Raw genomic sequence first — 13,103 nt, forward strand, 5'->3', positions numbered from 1 at the left:
TTATAATTGACACAGCTTACTGAATTAAGCACTACTGGCTCCAAATAAGTATACATACTTACTTATGTAGACCAAAATATATCATGTATTTACATCTATTTTCTTAGATGTTCGTGGACCAAACACAATGTGAGATGACGAATGGAGACCTCGATGCACTAGCAGGCTGTTGATCTTATTTTAGAGTTTATTTCTTAGAGATAAGAGGGAGAATTCATATTAGGTGATCTTGCATTCTCAAAACTCAGAGCGTCAGTTTTCCTTTTCTCAAGTACTTTACAAGTCTACTGTCCTTTCTTTTCACACACCTTAAAAGTACTTCGGATAATATCTAAGACTACATGGTACATCTGTTTAATGAGTCACCACAATCTGTCATTGCCGGAATATTGTGATTTTCAAAAATATTCTGTGAGTGATTAACTAACCACATAGATATGTTTATAGATATCCACCACTAAAATGCAACTGTTTTGTTTTTTCACAATTACTAGGTCAAAATGCAAAAATTTGACTTTCTAAAACTGAACATTCTTATTTATACTTTCTTTCAATTTCTTCTTAGAGGAAATATGTTAAAGACAAAGCAGTAGAAAGTAAAAAGTGCTGTATGGTGTACAGAACGTTTATGTTGTGAACAGTTGTTTAACCTAGTTAGAAATTAACAGCAGACAAAATCCAGTATACACAATGTGACTCAGAACCAAATTGTCACATAACCAAGACAAAGGCATAACGGTACAACTTGGTGACTGATTCTAGCTTAGTTTACATAGTGACACACACACTACACAAGTAGGCACATGTCCTGGTCAGGACAAAGGCCAAGGCAATCTTCAAATCTAGGTTATTACAGTAAAACAAAAAGAGAGAGAGAGACAGGGAAAAAGAAACAGAAAGAGAGGAGAGGAGAAGTGGGGAGGAGAGGGGAGGGGAAAGAACTGAAAGAGGAGGGGAAGGAAGGCAGGAGAGAGGGGAGAATTGAAGGGAAGGAGAGGTGTGTGAATGGGAGGGGAGGAGAGTGAAGTGGCCAGAGAGTTGCTACATATCTCCAATAAAGAATAAATATGGGCCAGGCACTGTGGCTCATGCTTGTAATCCCAGCACTTTGGGAGGCTAAGGTGGGAAAATCAATTGAGGTCAGGAGTTTGAAACCAGCCCAGCCAATGTGACAAAACCCCATCTCTACTAAAAATACAAATATTAGCTGGGCATGGTGGTGGGCACCTGTAATCCCAGCTACTCAGGAAGCTGAGATGCTAGAATTGCTTGAACCTCGGGCTGGGGGAGAGGTTGCAGTGAGCCGAGATTGTACCCCTGTACTCCAGCCTGGGTGACAGAGTGAGACTCTGTCTCAAAAAAAAAAAAAAAAAAAAAAAAAAGAATAAATATGGACAGGGCTCTTTCACTCCAGAAGAACCAGACATGTATCTATTTGCAGAATGTCCTAGAATTTAAAAGAGCACTATGGCTATCTGGGTCAGTTATAGGAGAATTTGGAAACCTATGGACTTTCCTTGGGGACAAAAAAAAAAAAAAAAAAAAGCCCTCAGATTGCTGCCTGTCTGCAAAGTGGACTTAATCCACAATGAAATAAGTATGAAAATGAGGGTGACCATTGAACAAGGTCTGTACACTAAAGCCCATGGACCAGCTTCCTATTTTGATAAAGTTTTCTTGGAACATAGCCATACTCATTCACTTATGTATTGCCTAGGGCTACTTTTGAACTCCAGTGGCAGAGACTGGATGGCTTGCAAAGCCTAAAATATTTACTACCCAGTACTTTACAGAAAAAGTTTGCAAATCCACCACCTCATTCCCTATTGGGAAATGTTTATAGCAATTTGACTTGGCCATAACATCTAAGTATATGATCATGTGTCTAGTAATTTTCTTCTTGTATTTTACAAATTTATTGGTCCACAATTGATTGTCAGAGGGAAAAGGAAAAGAAAAGACTTTTCAACAAAGATATTTTAAGCAGTGCTGTTCTGCATTATATATATTTCAGGGCAGGGCAAATCTGTTCATAAAATTCATTTTATTTTAAGCGCACTGTTCTGATGCTTATTGCCTGACATTAAATTAGATTCAAGGGATGAGTCAAACTTGTCCTCTGACTGGACTTGAACTTTTTCAACACTTCTTTTGCAATAACAGTTTGTTGTTATTGATTGCTATTGTGAAAGCAGGTTTTTTTGATACCAATATAATACTGTTGTACAGTAAATTTTCCTAGGTACATATTGTGTTTCAGTAAGACTCTAGCTCTTAAAGGGTGTCATTGCAATACAAGTTTATAAAATTTGCATATAAATTATGTTTTTTAAGAATTAAAAATTTCCAAACCTGAATGAGATTTCCAAACCTGAATGAGGTCAGCATGGATCTGATGGAAATTCATTTAACCTTACAAGAACTTAGTGAATTTTTCTTTTTTTTTTTTTTTTTTTTGAGACAGAGTCTTGTTATGTCACCCAGGCTGGAGTGCAGTGGTGGGATCTCAGCTCATTGCATTCTCCGCCTCCTGTGTTCAAGTGATTCTGGGGCCTCAGCCTCCCGAATAGATGGGACTACAGATATGTGCCATCACGCCCAGCTAATTTTTGTATTTTTAGTAGAGATAGAGTTTCACCATGTTTGCTAGGCTGGTCTCAAACTCCTGACCTCCAGTGATCTGCCTGCCTCAGTCTCCCAAAGTGCTGGGAGTGCTGGGATTACAAATGTGAGCCACTGTACCCAGCCGTATTTTGCTTTTTCTTATTATTAACAGTTTGATTTATCTGCAAACCTGCTTGTTTATAAAACAAAATCTGGATCATTTTTAGGAGAAAGTTAATGGCTTTCTCTAACTTTAAAACTTTAAGTAGCAATAGAAAATTATGAAATAGCATAAAACATTCTGGGTTACTTGATTGTGTGTTAACAGAGAAAATAGCTTGAAATGGCCAGGCAAGGTAGCTGACACCTGTAATCCCAGCACTTTGGGAGTCTGAGGCAGGTGGATCATGAGGTCAGTAGTTCGAGACCATCCTGGCCAACATGGTGAAACCCCGTCTATACTAAAAATATAAAAATTAGCCAGGCATGGTGGTGCATGCCTGTAATCCCAGCTACTTGGAAGGCTGAGGCAGGAGAATCACTTAAACCCGGGAGGCAGAGGTTACAGTGAGCCGAGGTCGCGCCATACTGCACTCCGGCCCGGGTGACAGAGTGAGACTCTGTCTCAAAAAAAAAAAAAAAAAAAAAAGGAAAATAGTTTGAAAATGTATTTTATGATAAAACTGCATAGAATCACACATATGAACACACAAACACACAAGGTGCATGTAAAACATGAAATCTGTGTAAGCTCTGTAGATTGTATCAATGCTGATTTCCTAGTTTTGTACTACAGTTATGCAGGATGTTAATCATTGGGGGAAAATTAGTTAATAGTACACGAGATCTCCTTGTACCTTTTTTTAAATATTTCCTATGAAGCTATCATTATTTTACAATAAAAAGCTAAAAATGTGCTAAATTTATTAAATTAAACTGTACTGTTTTAAGAAAGTTTAGTTATGAGCAGTTTATTACCAAAGAAAATAATTAGGTAATCTTTGAGAAAGAAAGCTAGTCAATAGCTTGCTTTCTTTAGGAATCTTAGTAATCTTGATAATCTTGCATTAGAATCATCGCTCGGCAATTTAACAAGATTTAAGGCTGACCAGAAGACAACGACTTTCTAACCTGTACTTGAAGTTTTTGTAATGAGACTGAGACTCATCTGTCATGGGTTCTTAAACTTGATTTGGAGAGTGGGCCAGGCTACTGGTTTGGCTCCTATATTCCTCTGAAAGGGATGAAACTGACTACCTAATTAATAGTCTACTTAAAGGATCACGAGCATCTCAGGTCCCTGATGAGAATTAGTTACTATTAACCTACTTGCAGATAATCAAGAATTAATATTATTTTAGATTCAATTATGATTTCAGAAAATATATCACCTAACAATATACATCCACTATATTAGTAAATTATTTTATTTATTGAGATAATTGCTCTTTTTGGTAAGATAATATAAAATAGTTAAAAGAAAATTATACTTAGAAAGAGCTGTAGTTTTAACTATGACTTTTGAAGTACAAGTTATGAAAACTAAGACCAAAACAGTTGGCCCCATGTAAGAAGTACAGAAAAGCTCTTCAGGACACCTTATTAATAATAATACAAAATCTTTAAAAGTCCACATAATCAGTTGAATAAGCTAATACCAAGAATTATACTAGATGAAACATATAGCTAACTTAAAATGATATTTAAATATAATCATAGCTCTACAAAGATAATAACCAGCTGACAATTATGTAGCCATTAAGAAATAGATCATGGACCTTCATACCAAGCATGAAAAAATAAATTTCCTAGAAATGGAGAAAATATTTAAGCCAAAAGTGCTGAAGATTACAAAAAAACAAAAACAAAACAAAACCAAAACGTGGTAGTTTTGGAGGTCTGTTTAAAGAAGTTCACGTAGAAGTAGGGCAATGTCAAACTAATTTAAGAGAAGTCACATACATTTAGAAATGAAGCCATCTCAATGACTATTTATATTCTCTAGAACATGAGAATTTTGCAATTTTATCTTCTGAATAGAGTTAAGGCATTGATTAAAATATCTAGAAATAAAAAATTTAAAACAGCGGAATTTCTGTGAACAGACTTGTGATTTCAGATTTACATCTTTGTAAAACAAACATTAGTAATTTAACATTCTAAAAACCTATGAAGGTGACAAAACATGTAATTTAGTTTTGAAGATGTTACCAATTTGTAACCTTATCAGTTAAGACATTTAGACTTGTATAAAAATCAAACTTTAAAAATAATTTGTTAGAGAAAACACTTTTTCTTCTTTATCTGTAGATCATAAACATTTCTATGTCAAAGATTCCATTCAAATTTAAGAAAACAATGGAGACTTTTTTGCAGATAAGATGAACCTACATACATTCATGCACACATAGCTTTTTATTCAACTTTTGAACAGGCTTGGACCACATAAAAACCATAATTGGTATTCTCCTTTTCCAAGTGTTATGTTAAGAATACCCATCGAATGATATTTTTTCCTCTTAGTTAATAGTTACCGATTTTCTCTTAAAAAAATACCTTGTAAATTGAGAATGAGGAACATCAACACTTGAACAAGGCAAAAAAAGTCATTATCCCCGAGGAGATTTCAAATTTGTAATTTCAGCCTGCAGACCTTTGCTGCATGATATTTTATTTCATCTATGTTCTATAAATTACTAAATCATTATTTTTAACAGATATTTTTGCTATGCCATTTTTACTACATGTTCACTTATTGAGGCCCTAGTATTTATCAAGCACAATTCAAGGATAAAAGAAACATGATAAGGATAGTTCCTGCTTTCATAGAGCATATATTTTAGAGGCAGAGAGAGACAATAAGCAATAAACAAATTTAAGAGAATAATTACAGATATTTGCTGTGAAGGAAATTAAGCAAGGACATATGATAAGGAATAGCCAGAGGGGTCCTTAGAAAATGTGTTCAGGAAAGGCTTGTCTTAAAAGTGCCAAGTAAACTGAGATCTTTTAAGTAAGGACAAGTGGGATTCATCAAAAATGGGCAGAACATTTTAGGCAGTGGGAACTACAAGTGTGAAAGCCCTGGGTGTGAACAAATTCTGCATGCTCATGGAACAGGAGGAAACTTCCAATATGGCTGGAATGCAGTGATTAGTGTGTATAAAGTACAAGACAAAGTAAATGAACAGGTGAGTTCAGCTCATGTCAGGCCTCATCATCATTTTTCAAAGAAGGCATCTACATGGCTAATAGGTATATTAAAAGGTGCTTGACATCACTAATCATTAGGAAAATACAAACCAAAAACACCATGAGTTATCACCCCACACCTGTGAGAATGACTGTTATCAAAAAGATAAGCAATAATGAGTTGGCAACAATGTGGAGAAGAGGGCTCTCTGGGATACTGTTGGCAGGAATGTAAATTGATACAGCCATTATGGAAAACATTATGGAGTTTCCTCAAAAAATTAAAAACAGAACTACTGTATAATCCAGCAGATAAAAATCTGGGTAGATATGTAAAGGAAATGAAATCAGTATCTCAAATAAATAACCCATGTTCCCATGGTTTCATCGCAGAATTATTTACAATAGCCAAGGAATGAAACCAACCTATGTGCCTGTCAACAGATTGATGACTAAAACAATTGTTTTATATATATATATATATATATATATAATTAATACAATGAAATATTATTTAGTCAAATAAAGAAGTAAATCCTGCCATTTGTGACAACATGGGTGGGCCTAGAGGACATGCTAAGTTAAGCCAGTCACAGAAACACAAATACTGTGTGATCTTACTGACATGTGGAATCCAAAACAGTCAAACACACAAAAGCAGAGAGTAAAACAGTGGTTTCCAGGGACTGCTGAGGGATGGGAGAAATGGTGCAATATTGGTCAAATGGTACTAATTTTCAGCTATATGTTGAACAAGTTCTTGGGTTCTTATATACAGTATGAGTAGTGATGTATTTGTTAATTAATTTGGTTATGATAATTATTACACAATGTATACATATCATCATATTGCACACCTTACACATATATAGTCTTTGTTAATTAATTGTTTTAATATTAAATAGAAAAATGAACAATGAAAAAACACTGGAGAGTTTTTAAACAGAGGAATGAGTGTCATCTCATGTATTTAAAAAAATATAATTCCACACATGATAGAAATTATAGAATTCTAGCTGATCTAAAAATCAGCATCTTTTCAGCCAGGTGTTTAATCCTGGATCAATGACCAGTGGCTAAGAGGTGAGTATCACTTGGTATGCCTTTTGTAAAATAGCAATTGTAAATAGATAATCTTAAAAGGTGTTTGTATTAATTGGGGTTCTGCAGAGAAAGACAACTAATAGCATGTATGTATATGTATGTGTGTGTGTATAAGATAAAATGTATACATATATGCACAAGACATGAAAAATATTTATTATAAGCAGCTGGGTCACATGACTATGGTAGCTGAAAAGTCCAAGATCTGCCAGCTAGAGAGGCAGGTTTGAGAGCCAGAATGCTAAAGTTCCAGATCCATTAAAGATAAGTATGATCATTATTTATCTTTAAAATAGGTACACAAATACCCATTTTGTTCTGGAAAATATAGTACACGTGTCATGGTACCTTTTTAAATTCTGTGATAGTCAATTTTATTTGGCAACTTTTCTGGGTCATGGGAAACCTAAATATTTAGTAAAACATTATTTTTGTTGTTTCTGAGATAGTGTTTTTGGATGAGACTAACATTTAAATTGGTGACTTTTGAGTAAAGCAAACTGTCCTACATAATGTGAGTGGGCCTCATCTAATCAATTAAAGGTCTGAATAGAACAAAAAGACTAGCCTCCCCCAAGCAAGAAAGAATTGTCTCCCATGCAAGAAAGATGACCAATTACAGTTCAATTACACGACCAGTTCTACTCGAGAGCTGAGGCAGACAAGAATTGCTTGAACCCGGGAGGTGGAGGTTGCAGTGAACCAAGATTGAGCCACTGCACTCCAGCTTGGGTGACAGAGCGAGACTCTGTTTCAAAAAAAAAGTTATTCCTATATAATAAAAGTTCAACAGAATGTGATCCTGAGGCCTTGGTGAGCTTCCTAGTTGATGAACACATCAATATGCTTGGCGGGTGGTGTGTTCTGGGTTTATAGGAAGAGAACATATCAGTTCTGCATTCAGAACCCTACCAGACCTTGCCCTATAAAAATCTTCTTTTGTCTGATTATGATTTGAATCTTTTATAATAAAAACGTAGTTATGACTAGTACTTTCATGAGTCATGTAAGTCATTCTAGTGAAGTATCAAATCTGAGAAAGTGGTGGAAACATTAAATTTGAAGCCATTTGGTCAGAAGTGTGAGTAGACTGTGAAGCTTCTAACTTGCAGCTGGTGCCTAAAATGAGAACAGTCTTATTTTGGACTGTGCCCTTAACCTGTGGACTCTACAATCATTCTAGGTAGTTTGCATCAGATTTGTTTTGCAGTATTGCAGCTAGTCTATATGAAGAAACATGCTGCTTCTAAAGATCATATTATTATAGAGGAGGAGTAGAAAGCACATGGTGAATTCTTTCTTTCCTTTTTGGGCCATGATGGCCATTGTTTTAATTTTTTTTTTAAAGTCACACTCACTGAGCCTAGACAAGGTCTCACAATGGCTTACAATTCTCCCCTAAGCATAAGTGTCATGAACCTTTATTTCAAATTAGGTTGTTTATATAAATTTGAATAGTTTTTCGACATACACCAAACAATATAAGTCATCCTAAGAATGGCCCATATTAGTAAGTCATATGTTCAACCTTATCTCAGACGATGCATGATAAAGCTCAAGATGACAGTCATTCTTATGTTTCTCAATAGGTTAAAAGTCACTGGTAAAATATACCATTTCTCAAATAAATATTCCCAGTAGTAGACTAAAGTTCTGAAGATTCATGGGTTCGGAATAGTGAAGGGGCTGGAAGATAGTCTACTGTGATTTTCATGTATCTCCCCAAAAGCATGTGTTGGAAACTAAAACCCAATACAACAATGTTGGGCACTGGGGACTAATGAAATGTGCTTAGGCCATGAAGGTAGAGAGAATGGATTATTGTCATTATTATAGCAATATTTTCTTATCCTAGGAGTGAATTTGTTATAAAAGAGGGAGTTTGGCCCCCCTCTTACTCTCTTTCCTTCTATTTGCCCTTCTACCATGGAATGATGTGGCAAAAAGGCCATTATCAGATGCTGCTAACTTGATCTTTGGATTTCCCAGTCTCCAGAACCATGAGCCACACATACACACACACACACACACACACACAAAATGAGATGTTTTGATACAGGCATGCAATGTGAGAAAAGCACATCATGAGGAATGGGGTGTCCATCCCTTCAAGCACTTATCCTTTGAGTTACAAACAATCCAGTTACACTCTTCAAATTATGTTGAAATGTACAATTCAGTTAGTATTGACTACAGTCACCGTGTTGTGCTATCAAATAGTAGGTCTTAATCATTCTATTATTTTTATACCTGTTGATTCTCCCTACCTGTCCTCTAGCCCCTCACTACCCTTCCCAGCCTCTGATAACCATTCTTCTACTCTCTATGTCCATGAGTCCAATTGTTTTGATTTTTAGATCCCACATATAATTGAAAACATGTAATGTTTGTCTTTCTGTGCCTGGCTTATTTTACTTAACATAATGATCTCCATTTCCATCCATATTGTTGCAAATCACTTACATCTCATTCTTTTGTATGGCTGAATAGTAGTCCATTGTGTGTATGTACCACATTTTCTTTATCCATTCATTTGTTGAGGGACACTAAGGTTGCTTCCAAATCTTAGCTCTTGTAAAGAGTGCTGCAACAAACATAGGAGTGCAGATAACTCTTCAATATACTGACTTCCTTTCTTTTGGGTATATACCCAGTGGTGGGATTGCTGGATCATACTGTAGCTATATTTTTAATTTTCTGAGAAGTCTCCAAACTGTTCTCAGTAGTAGTTGTACTAATTTACAGTCCCACCAACAATATACACCCTTTCCTCCACATCCTTGCCAACATTTGTTATTGTCTGTCTTTTGGATATAAGTCATTTTAACTGGGGTGAGACAACATCTCATTGTAATGAGATGATTTGTATTCATCTGATGATCAATGGTGTTGAGCACCTTTTCATATGCCCACTTGCAATTTGTATTTCTTCTTTTGAGAAATGTCTATTCAACTCTTTTGCCCATTTTTTGATCAGATTTAAAAATTAGACTTTTTCCTATACAGTTTCCTTTGAGCTTCTTATATATTCTGGTTATTAATCCCTTGTGATATGGTGTATTAGTTCATTTTCACACTGCTATAAAGATACTATCTGAGAGTGGGTAATTTATAAAGAAAAGATGCTTAATTGACTCACAGATTTGCCTGGCTTGGGAGGCCTCAGAAACTTACAATCATGGCAGAAGGGGAAGCAGGCACATCTTACATGGCAGCAGATGAGAGAAAATGAGTGAAAAGTCCAGTGGAAACTGCTATTTATATAACCATTGGATCTCATGAAAACTTCCTCACTATCATGAGAACAGCATGAGGGAAACTGCTTTCATTATTCAATCACTTCTCTCTAGATATCTTCCTCAGCACTTGGAGATTACAATTAAAGATGATATTTGGGTGGGGCACAAAGCCTAACCATATCAGATGGGAAGTTTGCAAATATTTTCTCCTGTTCTGTGGGTTGTCTTTTCACTTTGTTGGTTGTATCATTTGGTGTTCAGGAGCTTTTTAACTTGATGTGATCCCATTTGTTCACTTTTGCTTTGGTTGCGTGTGCTTGTGGGGTATTGCTCAAGAAATCTTTGCCCAGACCAATGTCCTGGATACTTTCCCCAATGTTTTATTGTAGTAGTTTCATAGATTGAGGTCTTATATTTGAGTCTTTAATCCATTTTAATTTTATTTTTGTATATGTTGATAGATAGAAAGCCAAAATTTTTTGTTCATTATAAATTAACTAGCCTGTGGTATTATGTTATAATAGAAAAAAAAAGACTAAGAGAGTATAAATTTTATTTTGTGTCATAATGTCAATGGTAATGCAAATATTTTATCAGTTATAAATACAGGTTCTTATTAAAGTGATTAGACTACAGATAAGTAATAAACCTCACACAAGTATTAGTTTTAGCAAATATATAGTTGTCCCAGTCCTAAGGATAAACAGTCGTATCAAATACAGGGAGGAAATTCCTCAGGCAAAAGGACTGAAAATTTGTATGATGGAAACAATGGGAGGAGTCACATGCCATTTTCCTCGTGCTGAAAAATGCTTATGTTCATAGCTCTAAAAGTGGAGGTTATTACTGACATTTAACATAATAATATATGTATACCTATATTTAGCTTTATTTTTAATTGACATGTAATAATTTTTCAGATTTTTGGGGTACAGAGTAATATTTTGATACATGTATACAATGTAAAATGACCAAATCAGTGAAATTAACATATCCATCTATTATTTCTTGGTGTTAAGAACATTTGGAATCCTGTATTCTACTTGAAAATATACAATAAATTATTATTAGTTATAGTCACCCTACAATAAGTCCACTAGAACTTATTCTTCCTATTTAGCCGTAATTTCAAAACTGTTGAATCTCTCTCTTTATACCCTACTACCCTTTCCAGATTTAAGTGACTAAAATTCTACTTTCTACTGTTATGAGCTCAACTTAAATTATTTTCACATATGAATGAGAACATTTGGTATTTATTTCTTGGTGTCTGAGTTGCTTTACCTAGTGTCTTCTAGGTTCATTCCTGTTGCTGTAAATGACAGGATTTTACTGTTTTTTATGGTTAAACACCATTTCATTGTGTTACATGTACCGCAATTTCTTTATCGATTCATCTGTTGGTGAAAAACTTTACTGCAACTTTACTGAATTTCTTAATCAGTTCTAAGAGGTTTTTTGTGGAGTGTTCTGGTTTTTCTGTGTATAAGAACATGCTTCCCACAAAGAAGAAGAATTTGACTTCTTTTTTTCCAGTTTGGATGCCTTTTCATTCTTTCTCTTTCCTTGTTGCTCTGGGTAGGACTTCCAGTACTATGTTGAATAGGAGTGGTGAAAGTGGGGATCCTCATCTTGTTCTATTTCTTAGAGGAAAAAACTTAAAATTTTTGTCATTCAGTGTGATATTAGCTGTGGGTTTGCTGTATATGGCCTTCATTGTATTCAGATGTGTTCCTTTTATACTGAATTTGTTAAGTTCTTATCATAATGGGATGCTGAATTTTATAAAATTATTTTCTGCATCTATTGAGATGATGATAAATATTTTCCTCATGCTGTTGCTGTGGTATATAACATTTTTGATTTGTGTATGTTGAACCATCCTTGCATTACTGGCATACTCCCACTTGATTATGTTGCAAAATCTTTTTGATGTGCTATTGGATTCAGTTTCCTAGCATTTTGTTGATGATTTTTGCATCTATATTAATTAGGAGTATGGTTCTGTAGTTTTCCTTTTCTGTTGTTTCATTGACTGGTTTTGATATCAAAGAATGCTGGACTCTTCAGATGAATTTGAAATAATTCCATTTTATATTTGGAATAGTTTAAGAAGAATTGGTGATAGTTCTTTAAAAGTTTGACAAATTCAACAGTAAAGCCAATTAGTCCTAGGCTTTTCTTTTTTGGGAGTTTTTAAATTATTACTAATTTAATTGCATTACGCATTACAGGTCTGTGCAAGTTTTCTATTTCTTCTTGGTTCAATTTTGGTAGGTGTATTAGGGTTCTATAGAGGGACAGAACTAATTTTATATATATATAATAATCTATATATATAATCTATATAATATATATTATACATAATATATATTATATATAATATATATTATATATAATCTATATAAATATATTATATATAATATATATTATATATAACCTATGTAGATTATATATAATATATATAGATTATATATAATATATATAAATATATAAATATTAATATAACATATAAACATATATAGATTATATATTATATAATACATATAGATTATATATAATATATATAAATATAATATATATAAAATATAATATATAAATAAATTATATATAATAATTTATATATATAAATAATTATATATAAATATATTATATATATAAATTATATATAATTTATATTTATATATTTATTATATTATATTTATATAACATATATAAAATAATATATATAATTATATATAATAATTTGTATATATATACAAATATATAATATATAATATATATAAATATAATTATATATTATATAAATATATACAAATATATATAATATATAATGTATATAATATAATATAATATATTATAAATATATATATATATATAGTGGAGAGTTTATTAAGTATTAACTCACACTATCACAAGGTCCCACAATAGGCCATCTGCAGGCTGAGGAGCAAGGATGGCCAG

This window comes from Homo sapiens, chromosome 4 (assembly GCF_000001405.40).
Source record: "Homo sapiens chromosome 4, GRCh38.p14 Primary Assembly".
In the NCBI taxonomy this organism is placed as follows: Eukaryota; Metazoa; Chordata; class Mammalia; order Primates; family Hominidae; genus Homo; species Homo sapiens.